Raw genomic sequence first — 17068 nt, 5'->3', positions numbered from 1 at the left:
TTTAATATAAACTACATCTGCCAGCAGCCTCTTGGCAGTCTGAGGAATGAATTTTCTAAAGGATAATGAGAATTGCGCATCAAATGGCAGCCGGGAAACGCTCTTCTTAAAGCTTTCCCACTTTGACACCCTCAGGTCTAGGCCAAGGCCATGCTAGGAAAATAACATCAGTGTTACTCGACTTCGTAATTCAAAGAGAGTTAAATATTCCCCAGAAACTTAAATCAAGCTGGTGTGGATTATTCAGGCATTTTTTTTTTCATACTAACTCAGGCTTTGAAGACAGTAAGCTAAACAAATGACCTAAGGGACAAGAGCCGACCAAATGTGGGAGTGATTTCCCCAGCAATAGTCTGATCATAATCTCATAGTCTGGAATCAGCATCATATTGCAAAAGGTTATCATATTGCAAAATACCTAGTTCTAGATCATAAGGTTGTTAAGGTCGAAAAAAATAGTAAACTGTAGGACAATGGGGGTTGACCATCCTTATTTCTTTTTTTAATTAATTTTAAAATTAATTAATTTTTTGGAGACAGAATCTCACTCTGTCACCCAGTCTGGAGTGCAGCGGCGTTATGTTGGCTCACTGCAACCTCCACCTTTTGGGTTCAAGCGAGTCTCCTGCCTCAGCCTCCCGAGTAGCTGGGATTACAGGCATGTGCCACCATGCCTGGCTATTTTTTGTATTTTTAGTAGAGACAGGGTCTTGCCCTGTTAGCCAGGCTGGTCTCGAAGTTCTGACCTCAGGTGATCCGCCCACCTCAGCCTCCCAAAGTGCTGGGATTACAGGTGTGAGCCACCATGCCTCGCTTACCATCCTTATTTCTTAATGGCATTTGGCAAATTGAGTCTTACCTGTTCTTAAAATCTTTTAGTGGGAGCTGCTGAGCCACAGTCCTGGTGGAGGTTCCAACCCAGGCCACCGTGTTTAGTACTATTCAGCCTCAGAATACAATGAGATCTAACTGGACCAGGGGTGAGTGTTGATGCTGGCAGCCCCAGGCTGGCCAGCATCTTTTGATCTGGTTGGTGTAGAAGATGAGCGGCCCTAATCAGCTGCTGCCGAAATTAGGAATCATTCTGCTTCTTTTATTCTAAGGTGCACATTTCCCTTGTGGTAATTATATACCTGAAATCAACATGTCACACAAGCTACATAGGCATTTAGTGTGACTGTATTATTCTCCCCCTACTAGGTCTTATTAAAACGATGGTACATTAGATCATCAATGACATATTTGAATGACAGTGGGAACTGAAGCCTACAGAGTAGGAGAAGTTCCTTGGGATAGTCAAGACCACCATGGAGAACAAGCCAAAAAATGAGCGAGAAGTTATGAGTAAACAGAGGAAGCCAGTCAGTGCTCAAAGGAGGATGAATATGCAGAGAGACATTGGGCACAGTGGCCTGAGAGGAAACAGAGGGGATAACATCAGGTCTCCAGAATCTTCTCAACAGCCTTGGCCTTGAGGTTCCTCAACAAGAATATGAAGAAGGGAAACTTAACTAAGTCTCTCTTACTTCTTAGCAAGATTCTGAGACTTAACATTCTCAAAAGACTTTTGGGATATTTGAGAATTCTAAGTTTCTATGCCTAGCCAAGCCTCTCATTATCCAAAGTAATTCAAAGCTGGTGGTTCTCAGAGTAGTCTGATTGATAATAAGAGCATAAAGTTGAGGTTCACACCTAGATTCAGTCCCAGCAAAAAACAGAAACCCAACATGAGAGAACAGTTTCCACCAGTGTGGTTGGCCAGTGCTGGCTAGGGTGGAAGATGGGCTTTTAGGTGATGTTAATATGTATGATGACAGAATCTTTTGGCCCAGAGTGAGCGGTTTGATAATTCCCTTCCTGTGATGAAACACTGTGGCTAACTCAGTGAGGTAATTCAAGTTGAATCGTACATTGATATTCACAAGTTTCTTTAGACAATGGCTTAAATTGTCTTTTGCTAATTACTATATTGCAGCATCATGTTTATTGCTTTAAAACATTTACCAAGAGGTGTTTTTATCTTATTTTTCTACTTGGATATTGTCTCTCATTAAAATATCTGTCTCATTCACCAATATATTTTAAGCATTAAGTGACACATAGTAATACTTAATATATATTTGTTAGGGAAATAATAGGAAAGATAAATGTAACTAGTTTATTGAACATGTTAGGCTTGGTAGGGAACAAACAGAAGTTAATTTTATGAATTAATATGTAAATTTTCTTGAACATAGTAAACAATGTGTTGACTAACCAAATAATAACTACTATTATTTCTCATTGCTGACGGCAACTACCCTCTCAACTTTCTTGTCTTCCTCACCAGATAAAACCTTGGACAAGTTCCTTGGATTTTCTGGTTACTCTTGTGTTGGCAAATGTCCAAGGCTGACTCTCATTGAATGTTTTTGTGGATTTTATAGAGACCCTGCCTCATCACTGGGGCTTTCTTGCCTGAAGTCCCGTTTAGTTAAGCAATGCCTCCTCTAAAGTATGCTTATAACCTGTTCTTCATTACTGGTTCCTGACCATGTCCTCCTCTATTGGGGTCACTTCAGCATGCAGGCAAGCTTCTTGGGCTCACTCTTAATATGACCCAGTTTGGCTCCCTTTTTTGGAATCCACATCTGGTACATGGAGAATATCAAAATAGGAGGGCAGGCTATTCCCATGACAGCCACTTCTATTACCATGCCAGAATAGCCACAGCCCCAGCCTCTCACTTTTAGATTCCCCCAAGTTGGAATTGGATGCAGGTACTATGTTCTCAAACTCCAAGGGGTGCATGTCAAGATCTACACCTGTTTCACTTCAAGCTTCTCTTCAGTTGACTTGAGATGAGGGATAACCCCTTTCTTCATCCTCCAGGAGAGACTTGACATCATAGAAGCTGTCCATGACATTCTTCTCCACTGATCTCTTCAACCTCTCTCATGTAGTTAAGAGGTGGGTGAGGGGCTAATGTTGACAGAACTGATATTAGAATCTTTCAGCTTGCTCTGCATAGGTATCCTAGCACCACACTCTAAGACCAGGGAGGTGGAGGGTGGTACCTGGCACTTTTTTTTTTTTTTTGTCATTATTGGCCTTCGTATCATCCAAAAAGCTCTGAAACCAAGAATTCTATTTTAACATCCTATTACCAGAATATAGGTAAAAATGACAACTCCGATAAAGTCTTATTACAAAGTTAGACTAATCCTAATTAATAAGGGATTATCAAATAACTTATTTGATAAATTCTAAACTGTTCTCTATTCCAAACCCCAACCCTAGGAGTGGCCATGATTTAAGAGGGTGGAAATCTAAGGTATAGAATTAGGATTTCTTTGCAAGTGAAATTCATAAAAGTCAATCAAATTTAAAGGATGAGATTTGCTCTCCTGTTTTGTAAATCATGAATGATGGAGATCTGAAAACTCAAATTGAAATGGTATGAATAAAGGCTGCTATAACTTATTGATGGTGGCCATTTGGATTATGTCATTCTTCACTTGGGCCACTCACCAATAATTACTCTAAAAGTTTGACTACCTAAGTACCTTTTTCTATTGAAAGAGAGGGAGAGAGGGAAAGAGAAAGAGAAGATAGTAAAAAAAGAGAGAAAGAGAGAGATAATGCTAACTTGGTAGTACTTTCTCCTTATAAATTAATAAATTGAAAATGTGGCTTTTAATACTCATGTGTCTCCCTAGGTTTAACAACACGAATTAAACTTGAGTATAAGATGGATTAACCCTGGCTTAGCCTAAAGAATATCAGCCAGGTGTGGTGGCTCATGCCTGTAATCCTAGCACTTTGGGAGGCCGAGGCAGGTGGATCACCTGAGGTCAGAAGTTCGAGACCAGCCTGACTAGCATGGTGAAACCCCGTCTCTACTAAAAATACAAAATTAGCCGGGTGTGGTGGCACATGCCTGTAATCCCAGCTACTTGGGAGACTGAGGCAGGAGAATCGCTTGAATCCGGGACACAGAGGTTGCAGTGAGCCAAGATTGTGCCATTGCGCTCCAGCCTGGGTGACAAGAGCAAAACTGTGAAACACACACATACACACCATATATATATATATATATATATATATATATATATATATATATATATATATATATATATGAGTTTTGTGGTATGTCTGATTAGGATGTGGGGTTGTTGGCTCTGAATTGGGTTTTGATTTATTTCGGCTAAAGTATCTACAAGAAATTCTGTGCACAGACATGGGAGGCAAGGGAGAGCTCTAAAATGGGTTTGGACTTATTTTGGCTAAAGTATCCACAAGAAATTCTGTGCACAGACATGGGAGGCAAGGGAGAGAAAACAGGGGGAAAGGGCTATTCTGGTACCACATAGTGCCCTGTGACCAGTTTTTGGGCACCCATCGAGAGCAATGGCCGAATGGAATACAGGCCTCTGCTATTGCTTTGAGCAGTGGGAAAAGCTCCCAAGGAGTGGCAGCATTCTTTGGAGGGTGTGGAGATGGTGGGGTCCGGAGGGCTCACTGGATGCACCCATTGCTCAGGTGAGTTGGGACAGCATGAGCCAAGGCCCTGTGGGAGTAGCATGGGCAGGGCCTGCTTGAACACACCTGAGACATGTGTGGGGAGCTCTGAAGTACCTGGAGGAGACTCCTCAAGTGGCCAAGGTCCTCCTGTTATACGTGGTCCTCCTGATATACATGGTCTTCCTGATATAAGTGAAGGCAGCAAGCCTACAGTCTTTGAGTAATAACACCAATGTAAATGTGTTTGTGCTCACAGGCTGGGGGCATTCAGGTTGTGTGAAACTCTGGACCCGCAATATAGAGGACCAGACCCTAACGTGGTGTCTATCTACTACTTGGCGAGCCCTTGCTTAAAAAATGTGTTGCCAGCTGGGCGCAGTGGCTCATGCCTGTAATCCCAGCACTTTGGGAGGCCGAGGCAGGCAGATCACGAGGTCAGGAGTTCGAGACCAGCCTGGCCTACATGGTGAAACTGCGTCTCTACTAAAAATATAAAAATTAGCCAGATGTGGTGGCGGATGCCTGTAATCCCAGCTACTCAGGAGGCTGAGGCAGGAGAACTGCTTGAACCCAGGAGGCGGAGGTTACAGTGAGCCCAGATCACACCACTGCACTCCAGCCTGGGTGACAGAGCAAGACTCCATCTTGGGGGAAAAAAAAAAATCTATTGCCCTCACTCTGATCTCAGCAAGGTCAAATTTGAAGAAAAATCAATTATCTGTTTTTTTTTTTAAAGAAAACCTATTTTGCATTCTTGAAAATCCTAGCTAAGGTCTCAATTGATCATTAATATTTGTTCTTGAATAGAAGTTTCAAAAGACAGAAGAGTCCTCAGATCACTAAAGCTATAAATGGCAGTGAAAGGGCAGCATCTCCACACTTTCCCTCAGAGGCTAACATATAAGAAATTCCCATATATGGGAGCCAGGAAGAAGGAGGAAGTTTGGGCAAACATCCAGGGCTGTCTGTGGAATAAGTAAGATGGGCTTTAGTAAATTCCCAGCACAGAGGTGCTGACGGCCACCTGACTGAGTCATGCACTGGTGCATCATCGAAGATAAACTGTTACAAAATGAATCAAAATTCTTAAGCCACTGAGGTAAAAGAGCAGTTTCTGAGCTAATACTCTGTCTAGGCAAGCTTTTAGTTTTTTCTTGGATGGATTCCACCCTCATCTGCCTGCTTTAGGTGGCAGACTACACAACTGTCGGCAGAGACTGGCACATTGAAGGGAGATCCTGGAAGGAGTCCCTGTGCTGGGGGAAGAGTTTCCCTCTCCCAGCTTGACTGGGAGGAATGGCAAATCCTTGCAACAGAGAAACGCCTTGCTGCCTGCTTTCCTCTGACAGCCTGCTTCCTGACCTAGGGGTTGGGCCCGCGGATGGCATGGGCATTGGCTAATCATCAATCTAATTGCAGAGTCCTGCCCCCAACAGGCTTGTTAAACTCTTCTGCTGCCAGGCTTTCCAAAGACACTTTTAAAAAATATATACAACGGCTTTTTTGAAGTATAATTCACATACCATAAAATTCACTCATTGGCAATTCATTGTTTTTTACTGTATTCACAAAGTTGTACGGCCATTACCCCAGTCAATTTTGGAACATTCTATCACCCCAAAAAGAAACCCCATGCCTGTTAAGCAGTCACTCCCATTTCTTTGAAATACCTTCAGCCCCTGACAACCATTAATCTACTTTCTGTCCTTATGGATTTGCCTATTCTGGATATTTTATCCAATGGAATCTTGCAATATGTGGCCTTTTGTGACTTGCTTCTTTCACCAGCATAATGCTTTCAAGGTTTATCCATGTTGTAGCACGTGTGGGTATTTTCATTCTTTGTTATGACTGAATAATTTCATTGTCTGAATATGGCACATTTTATCTCTTCATCAGTTGACAAGACATTGGGATTGTTTCCACTTTTTGGATATTATGAACAATGTGGCTGTGAGCGTTTGTGTCTACATTTTTATGTAGACGCATGCTTTCTTTTCTCTTGGCTATATACCTAGGAGTGGAATTGTTAGGTGATATGGTAACTTTGTGTTTCATCTTTTGAAGAATTGCCAGATGATTTTCCAAAGCAGCTGCACCACTTTATATTTCTACCAGCAGTGAATGAGAGTTAGATTTTTTCACATCATCACTAACATTTGTTACTAGCTGGCTTTCAGCTTATAGTCATTCTACCAGGTGTGAAGTGGTATCTTACTGTGGTTTTTGTTTGCATTTCCCTAATGGCTAATGATGTTAGGCATCCTCTTTTGTACTTATTGGTTATTTGTACATTAGAAAACTGTCCATACAGAACCTTCCAAAGATGCTCTTAAATCCATGAAAATGCTTCTGAGGGAGCTGGACCTTAGGCTTGGCCATGATAGGGAAGCGTCACGCAACAGATGCCAGGCGCAGGATCCAAAATTTATTTCTCATGGTTATGAAAGCTGGGGAGTTCAAGATCAAGGCCTATGGCAAGGCTGAAATGAGATGAGCAGAAGAATGTCCTGGGCTAGACTCCAGAGCCTGGGGAGTAATTTCTGGAATGCTGCAGTGGTCAGTTTTAGGTGTCACCTTGGCTAGGCTATAATCCCCACACTATGATCTGAATGTTTATGGGCCCCTCAAATTCACATGTTAAAATCTTCACCCCCAAGGTGATGGTATTAGGAGTGGGAACTTTGGGAGGTAACTAGGTCATGAGGGCTTTGACTAGGTCATAAGAGATTAGTGCCCTTATAAAAGAATCCCCAGAGACACCCTTCACCCCTTCCATCATGTGAGGTTGTATTGGAAAGATGGCCATCTAGGAAAGGGACCCTTACCAGACACCGAATCTGCCAGGGCCTTGATTTTGAACTTCCCAGCTTGTAGAACTGTGAAAAATAAATTTCTGTGACTTGTGACCTACCCAGCTTGTAGTATTTTGTTATAGCAGCCCGAATGGACTAAGATACCCCCGTGATTCAATCAAACACTAACTGAGGTGTGACTGTGAAGATATTTTGTACATGTGATTCACTTGAAAAATCATTTCAGAGAGAAGTAAAGGTTATCCTAAAGAACCTGGTGAGCCTGATCCCATCAGCTGGAAGACCTTGACACAGAGCCGAGGTTTCTCGGCGGAGGAACTCCTGCCTGTGTACTGAAGCTTCGGCTTCTGTTCAAGAGTTTCAGCTGCTGTTCGGACTGCCTGCCCTGTGGAATTAGCCAATTACATCAACGGGGAAGCCCCTTCCTTGCTTTATATTTATGTGAGAGATATATATGTACATACAGATGTTCTACTGGTTACTGAGGAGTTTCTGAGACATCTAAAAGGACTTATTTTCCTGGCATAGGAAGATGTAGGAAGCATGAGTGATGAAAAAGTACTCTCTGTAAGCAGGCCTAATCCTATAAAAGTATTGTGAAATTGGTTATACCTCCCTTTGATGTCCTCACCTCTCAGACCGCAGGTCCTCCTCTACCATCTCTACCTGCCTCTACCCTCCGGCCCTTTCTAGCAGCAATGGTTCTCAACCGGGGGCAGTTTTGCCACCCTGGAGACATCTGGCATTTCCTGGAGACATTTCTGGTTGCCCTGACTAGGTGAGGTGCCATTAGCATCTAGTGGGTAGAGGCCAGGGGTTCTGCTAAACATCCTACATGCACAAGACTGTCCCTACAACAAAATGTCAGTAACGCTGAGGTTGAGAAACCTTGCTGCACAGGTTTACCTGAATGTCTCCTGGCTCCTACTTTACCTAGGAATAGCTAAAAGAAACATCTCTAATGCCTCTAAGGGGTATCACCACTTTTTAAAAGACTGCAGAGGTCAGAAAGACTTCAAGTTTCCAAAAATTGAAACTATAAAATGGAGTTTCAGATCTTCTCAAGGGAGGTTATTTACTTAGAACGAAGTTTATCTATTGTTTAAAGGGGTAGACCAGGTGGTAGATCTGCATAGCTAGAAACTCATTCCCAGGAAGGCTGTTATACAAAGACACCTGTAATAGCTAAATCCCTTCCTGAGGAATGAATCTCTTGTTATTAAACATTAAAAGTGGTCTGCTTTATCTTCATTTATTCATGATAGAATATTAATGTAGCAAGGAATTGCAGAGGTTGTTAAATACATCTGCCAATTTATTTGAATGTAATATAATGTATACTATAAAATAACACAGGACCTGTGTTATTCCTTTTCGGTTGTCCCTGAGCCTCAGTTCCAGAGCTGGAACACTCACTGCCTTCTGAAACAACTTGCCCACTGCCCCACTAAAAACAACTCTGGTTGCTAGAAATTCTTAATATTGAAATGAAATCTTCTTTGACTATGAAATCTTTAACTGTGTTAAACTCATAACTCCTAACTTGAAATTATGACTTCTGAAGGTGGAATGATCAATTTATGCACATTGATTCACAAAGCGTTACGCGACTCCACAAAATGTTAAGGGTTAAGAATTTGCTCATGATCACTCTACTATTGGAGAAGTGTTTTTGGAACAGTTTTTTTTTTTTTTTTTAGATGAGGTTACTGAAGAAAGCAGGGTGTGGTGGTGGAGGATGTTGAAACTACAATGTCTTTGGGAAGCAGTCGGGGAAGGCACAAAGGCTGGGTGGCTTCTGGCAGGTTCCTAATGAGACTTTCCTTAATCTTTTCATATCTTCAAAATCTTGTTCCAGATATCTTGGCTTTGGCAAAGTGTGGTTTGCTCTTAAATTTTCAGCTCTCCTGGCTTTGAAAGGAAGCATTTTTTGTCGGGGAAGGAGATGTTTCTGATCCCCTTACACTTACATCATCAAAGCGTGTTTTTACTCTGCCTATTTGATGTCTGAGAGGCCTCATTAGGAGCTCACTTTATTAGCCCTGTTAAAAGAATTTCTTTCCTGTAGAAACAGGAAGTTACATTTTGTAGCGTGTAACCCCCTAAAGTCTCTAAAGGATCTAGACAAATTTGTAGTTCTAGTCTCAAAGGCTCCAAATCCAGACAAAATTCTTCCCTAATGTACTCCCCAGTGCTCTTAAGAAATCAGTTCACACCTGGGGGCCGGCATCTTGGCATGCCCACTTTATAGGCTCTGCCTTTCATGAGATCTGGAGAGTGATTCCGTTTGTGGTATTTATAATCTGTGCTGTTGGTAACCTTGATTTCTCTGTCACCTTTTAAAGGGCTCTAAAAAAAGATTGCATTTTAATAGGTCATTGGACCAACTCAATAACTTCCTGGCAGGTCTGGCTCCTTCTTCAGAAAGGAGAAATGTTGGGAAACCACAGACGTTGAAATCTTCATGCCTTTCCATTTATAAAATGGGAAAGATGGGGACTAGCCAACTTTTCAGAACCTAGGATCAAAGTGGTCAGCAATGCTAGGGATTCTTTTTCTTCCATTCATTTAGACCTGGTTCCCAGATACCTCATGTTCCCCTAGGTACCTAACAGGAACTGGGTCACCTTGACACCATGAGTATCCTCCTATATCCATCTATCTATCTATCTATCTATCTATCTATCTATTTATCTATCTATCTATCATCTAGCTACCTATCTATTTATTTTGAGATGGAGTCTCGCTCTGCCGCCCAGGCTGGAGTGCAGTGGTGCGATCTCAGTTCACTGCAACCTCCGCATCCCAGGTTCAAGCGATTCTCCCGCCTCAGCCTCCTGAGTAGCTGGGATTACAGGTGCACATCACCATGCCCAGCTAATTTTTGTATTTTTAGTAGAGACGGGGTTTCACCATGTTGGTCATGCTGGTCTCAAACTCATGACCTTGTGATCTACCCACCTCAGCCTCCCAAAGTGCTGGGATTGCAGGCATGAGCCACCGTGCCCAGCCCCTCCTGTATCTTTATCCACCTTCTGTGTGTGTGTTTTTTTTTTTCCTCCCTTAGGATCGCTCTTGTGGGGGTTTCCTCATTGTATCCGTAGCTCCACTCTCTAGCACATCATAGCTGGTAGCTGAATCACACAAATGCATATTTATGTGTGTATCTATATCTTTATGTACATTCACCAAACCTTCGGGTTACCACTCAAGATGAAAAAAATAAACTCCACCAGAATACACTTCAATATTTAAAAAGAAAATAACTAAAGCAGTTTATCTTCCCACCTTAACTCACCCAATAGCCCACATGTTTGCTTCACTTCCTGGCAGAGCATAAACTTGTCCTACAGTGCAATCTTTTGTTCTGAGTGGGTCAAAAATTCTTTCCACAGATAAACTTTCCGAATATTATTATGTCCCTTCCAGGGCATGATCATTTTATGAATAAACTGTGTAATGCTTTTGTTAGCTTCAACCAACAAAAATGGTTTTACCTATATTAGGTGATAATATAATCAGTTCCTGTTTTTCAACTCTTTTCCCAATTTTTCTTTCTTAGATTTATTTCTGTCTCCCACTACAAAAAGCTCCCAAAAGTAAAAATATGATTTTTGCTCCCCCTGCCAAAGCTTACAAATTTATAGGGACATTATGTGTCAATTTATGCCAAAAAGGAAAAAATAAAACATTAATATATCTGAGGCTCTCCTTCATATCTTCACTATACTAACATCTCTGTTTGTCCAATGGATACACATCCTTTTATGATGTTATAAAGCAATGAGGAGATGTCATTGTAGAAGATACTTATTGGTCTGTAGATAGTTGTTTGTATAAATCATCTTAGCAATCATTTATTAAATGGTCCTTATGTTTCCAGAGAAGAAAAATAAACAGAAACCAAAGCTTTATATATTGAGAATGCATTAATATATGGAGTTGATTTTCTGTGCTCCCTTTTCTAAAAGTTTCTGTTTCTTTGCTCCATGTAATGAGTTCAGACTTTTAATTAAAATGGTAGCAATCACCAAGTATTTGTAGTCTCATCAGCCATGATTGATCCTACACTAATATGGAGTCTCCTCCACCCACTCCCAGTGGTTAAAAAAAATCAGAAATCAAGCTATTTCCAACAATCTGGGCTTTGCTAGATAGTGAAGTTTCTCTCACATGATACAGTGGAAAAGAAATTTTCTGCATGAAAACAAAAGACCCTAATTCAGCACAAATGTTATTGTAAGTTCTGCTTTTTTATTTTATGGAGATTTAAACAATTTGATTATTTTTATTAAAATGAAGGAAAATGTCAAAATCTCCTCTCCATAAAAGCCCTAATAGTGTGACCACTAAAAGCCCTAATGCTTCTTCAGCATTTGATTTTCTAACTTAGGTTTGAGAGATGTTTAAGACCATTTTCTTTGTTTGTAAAATAGGAATAATAATTTATGCACTAGAATGACCTAGGTGGTTTGATCACTGGGCATCCCAGATTATACTAAAATGTGTGGTGCAGCTAATCAGTACTATGGAAGAATGAGCAGGGGCTGACATAGTAGTAGCCAAGAGGTTTCAAGGAGGGGGAGGTACCTGCGTATCACTGAAGAATGGTAAGATGTGACACCTACATGTTAGGGAGAAACATTCTGAAACCATAAAATAACAATCACCCATAGATGTAGAAGTGTTGAACGTACAACAGATTCCTTCACTAGGGGCAAAATTATTGTTTTGGTGAGAAACATTTTATATCTGAGAGAAACATTTTAAATTTGGTGAGAAACATTTAATATCTGGGAAGCTGAAATTAACTCTGCCTCTACTGGTTTCCTTGGAACATATCAAATATTTCTCCCCAAATTCCATCAGATCAAAGACTACATCAGATATTTCCTTTGAGGCCTGCTGAATTGATTGTTTTGTGTTTCTTTGTTTGTTTGTTTTTGTTTTTTGATATGGAGTCTTGCTCTCTTGCCAGGCTGGCATGCAGTATCTCGGCTCACTGTAAACTCCACCTCCTGGGTTTAAGTGATTGTGCTGCCTTAGCCTCCTGAGTAGCTGGGATTACAGGCATCCGCCACCACACCCAGCTAATTTTTGTATTTTTAGTAGAGACGGGTTTTCACCGTGTTGGCCAGGCTGGTCTCAATCTCTTGACCTCGTGATCCTCCTGCCTCGGCCTCCCACAGTGCTGGGATGACAGGCGTGAGCCACCACACCCAGCCTGAATTGATTTTTAATGGATTCTTATTGGAAAATCAAAGACAAAGATGACTTACAAAGTTGACTCATGGACAAGGCAAAATCCTTGTAGATTCTATTGTTTATAATAAATATGAGAACTACTGAATTCTTATATAGATAATCTGTATGTTATCTTAAAAAAAAAATAGAAGGCCTAGCTGTTTCCCAGGAAGAAAAAAGATTGAAAGAGAAATGAAGAAAAAGGACATTTTTGCTTCACCCCTTAGTCTGCATTCACTCACCTTGTTGAAAGTTATGTCGTCTGATATTCCTTGGCCCATTCATGGAAATCCTTATAAAGTTTGTTCGTTGGGAACAGAACTTAAGAGAAGTGGCAGGATTGAAATAAGTTGCTATTTCTCTTCTCATGTAGTCATCTGATTCTACCATGTATGAAATGCAAATTTTATGATAAGTACTTTCATCTTTGTTTATGTCTTACATCCTTAGAGCCTTGCTAGGACTTTATTCAGCAAAAAGGGCTTTGTATTAGATGAGACTAAGTATGATTAAATTGTATTGTTACTTGAGAGGAATCTGAAACAATTTCATATTTTTCACAATGCGCATCTTTCAAGGGCATGCAATAGGCCATCCATAAGAGCCCTTTCGACATGCTTGCTCCCCAGTGCAGCTTTTTTTAATGGGAGAAGCAACAGCAAACACCTAGATGTATTGTCAGTTTTATCCAAAGGAATTAAAATTTTGCTCCATTTGATGCTTAATATAGAATATAAAGTATGAAATTGGATGCTCAAACCTGCAGTACTGCTATTCTGAGACCCGAATTAAACCACAAGAGGAAATTCTCAAGTCCTTTTCCCAACCCAAGTCCCTTTCCCAACTGATGCTAATTGGTTTTCATTTTCCATGGTTCATAGAGGAAGCAATTTAATAGGCTAAGGGGTAACTTAAATGTCCCATGGAAATCCATGTTGCATTTGAACCCATGAGCTAAGATTCTGGCTCTTCTGAACATTGCCTCACTGGAAAGATTGTTGTTGTTGTTGTTTTTAATTTTCTTTTCTTATTTTACCTTTTTCAGACATCTTCTGTAACCAGAAGCACTCCAAGAACAACACTTTCATTCATGGACTTAACAACTACATTAGATCATACCAGCCTGTCACTTCAAAGTCACCAGTGTCAAGGTAAAGAAACTATCTGCCAGTTGCAGTTGAAATCCATCAGCTTATGGAATTCTAATGCCAAATTCACTCTATTTATTTTGTCTAGAATATCACAAGCTACTTATTTAAGTCCTACTGTTTCTTCAAAGCCCACATCAAGTCTCACCTTCTCCCAGTCTTTATTCCAGCCCAGCAACCTTTGATGTTTCTCTTAAACTTATTATTTTATTATACTATATTATTACACTGACACATAGACTACTGTATATTTGTTAAATATTTTAATATATGTTCCTTATTTCTCATTATTTCTAAAATATTCATTGACTGTAAATTGATCACTATCTCTATCTCATGGACCTCATAGTCTGGTGAGACTTGCAGGTCAGAAATGACCAATGCAAGGAAGGGAGGTAAGGGCTTGTGTAGGGAGCTGTGGTAACCCAGGAGAGGGGCATTCACAATGGAATGGGGAAGTGAAGCCTTCTGGGAGACATCAAGAGTCTGGAAGAAACAGGAGGGAGCCAAATAAACATGGGAAGGAGGAAGGGCATTTCAAAAGCTAGAACAGAACTAACAGGGGCCTGGAGATGTTTGAAAGTCCAGTGCACATTCAGAGAATGGAAGGCTGTTTGATATGACCACAGTCCAATTAGAAGATGGGGAAATAGTGGGACATGAAGATGGCCAAGCCATTCTAAGTGGTTTGAACCTTTGGGTAATTGAGAGCCCTTGAAGGATTCTAAGCAGGGAAATATTCTATCATAGTTAGATTTTAGAAATACGGTGACAATTGCAGCGTTATGGGATGGTTTAGAGAGCGGTTAGATTGATGGAAAACCACGCCAAGCAGGTAAGACAAAGTTGCTAAGGACCTGATCTAGGAAGATGGTGGATTCAGGGCAGTTTCAAATAATAAAACAAACAGGGCTTGCTAAGACATTGGCAATAAGCAGGAAGTGGGGGATAGGGGTTCTCGGATGACTCAGGTTTTTGACTTTTGTAATTTGTCATTGGATCAAAAGTGATGCATGAAAATATATAGGAAATAAAGGATGAGGGGTAGAAGGAAAAGTAAAGGAGAATAATAAAGAATAGAAAGGGAGTTTAAAAATGAGTTTTAAGTATGTATTTTTGACATCAGTTGTTGATATCTAATAAGACATTAAAAGTCACTCTAAAGAGAGAGGTCTGATTGTAGCTTTATGTGTGTGAACTGAGAAGTGGAGTTTAAAACTATGAGATTGGATAAGATTACCAAGGGAATGTACAGTGAGAAAATCCAAGGACAGAATTCTGAGGAGTGCCATCATTTAAGCTGTGGGTAGAGGAAAAGGAATGGCAGAAGAAAGTGAGGGGTGGCTAGAAAGGTAGGTGGGAAGTTGGATGAAAGCAGGGTCCCAAAATCCAGAGGAAGGAGACTCCAACCAGATGATTGTGTTAGTTTCCCAGGGCTGCCGTAAGTTATCACAGACTTAAAAACCACAGAAATTTATTCTTTAAGAATTCTGGAGACTTGAAGTTCAAAATCAAGTTATGGGCGGGGTCAGCCTCCCTCTACAGGCTCTAGGAAAGACTCCTTCCTTGTCTTTTCCTAGCTTTGCTGGTGGCCTCCGGGAACCCTTGGTGCTTCTTACAGCTGCATCTCTACAATCTTTGTCTCTGTTTTCACATGGCCTTATTCTGTGCATGGGCTCTACTTTTTTTTTTTTTTTTTTTTTTTTTTTTTACAAAGATAGCAGTCTTTGGTCTTAGGATCTACCTTAATTCCAGTAGGATCTCATCTTCATCCTTAATTGATTATCTCTACAAATACCTTATTTCCAAATAAGGTCACATTCTGAGTTTCCAGGTGGATATGAATCTTGTGGGGACGCTATTCAACCCTCTTTGAGAGTTAAGGATTATATCTTATGTCCTTCATAGACCTGTAAGATCTTTCAGCCTCATCAGAAACCATGACATTTCTCTGGGAATTTCTTAGACCTATCAAAGAGAAAATGAATTTATTGAGGGGGGGCAGGGGCTCTAAAGGAGACAGCAGAGTCAAAGCGTATCCTTTACCAGTTTTATTCCCTAGGACACATTCAGATGCTCCCCCTTTCTGTACTCCATGGGATATGCATTGAACAGTTGTCCTAATATGTTGCTAAGACCTCCCACACTAATGGAAGTAGGCCCAAGAAGGCAAATCAGACGTTGGCCCTTGCAGACTGATTTAGCAAGACAGAGTCAAGAGAATTGTATGGTTTTTGACTTGGGGCCCTAGTGTTCAGATTCCCAAATGATTTCTTCTGAGATTTGGTATCTAGATTATCCTTTTAAAGTAAGTTGCTTTGTGGTTTGCCTTCTGATTATTACATCTGTATATCTATCACTGATTCAGCCAAAACACAGAAGTTATTTCCCAGTAATATTAAAGTAAGGTCGAATGTATAACTGCCTATACAATCAAAGATGAACTGGTCTCTGAACTGGTAACTCATAAAAGACAAATTCCGCAGTACATAGGTAAACATGCACATCCAATCCCAAGTCAAAAAGTGAAGACTTTAAAACTGCCTATATTCTTCAGTTAGGTACCAGGTCAGGATTTGGTTTGTAACACATATTAGAAGAAAAGAGAATGAAGAAACTGAACAGTTACATTTTAGCAGAAAGAGCAGAAAAGTGACAGATTTTGCCACTTAGAAAATATTCAGACTGAGAATCTTTCTTTACCAGCTCGTTTGCCACTATCCAATTAAAATCCAACACCAAATAGCAGTAGAATAGATCCTAAACCATGATTAAAATCAAGCCATGCTTTCTATGCATCTGCTCTTCATTAGGTGGGCAAAGAGCAATGGTGACCAAAGTATGTGGGCAAACATGAATTTCATGGCTATTGCTCATGTCTGGGCTGGACCTTAAAGACAGCATTGACTCGATGGTACTGTTACAAAGTTTTTCATGATGTTTCATCTAAAGGGAGTTTACCTGACAAAGGATCATCATCAATATTGTCACTTAACCTCTCCATCCCACCCTTCTCTTGAAAAAAAGTTGCATTGATGTTGTTTATTATAAATAGAGTGGAAAAGCCCATTATAGACCAAACAAAAATGAATTTAGCTATTAAATTCCCAGAGGGAATCATTACATGTCAGTTTCAAAGGCAACACAGCTTTAGCAAATGTAGACTGCACTATATGAACAAAATTATGACACGTATTTAACTACACTATTTAGAACAGAGATTTCAAAGTTTGGCAAGTAATCTCCCCCTCCCCATACTCAGACACTGCTGACAGCACTTTTCCTAACGAGCATGACATAGGCTCATAATACTTAGGGTAGCAGCCACAGAAAGTCAGAGCTGACATGTTAAATGTG

At 40.5% G+C, this 17068-nt stretch overlaps 1 long non-coding RNA gene across 3 annotated transcripts in view; it reads left to right on the top strand.

The window, feature by feature from the left end:
• The window catches only part of LOC105370777 (uncharacterized), a 556255-nt gene that overhangs the window by 335844 nt on the left and 203343 nt on the right, over positions 1-17068 (top strand). For all 3 annotated transcript variants that reach the window (XR_007064588.1, XR_007064587.1, XR_007064586.1), the window contains one exon: positions 13609-13714. This is a non-coding gene — a long non-coding RNA (uncharacterized LOC105370777). The remainder of the gene's footprint in view (positions 1-13608; positions 13715-17068) is intronic.

Source organism: Homo sapiens, chromosome 15 (genome assembly GCF_000001405.40).
Source record: "Homo sapiens chromosome 15, GRCh38.p14 Primary Assembly".
In the NCBI taxonomy this organism is placed as follows: Eukaryota; Metazoa; Chordata; class Mammalia; order Primates; family Hominidae; genus Homo; species Homo sapiens.
Note: the sequence above shows the minus strand (reverse complement) of the source record. Positions and strands in the feature narration are given on the sequence as shown.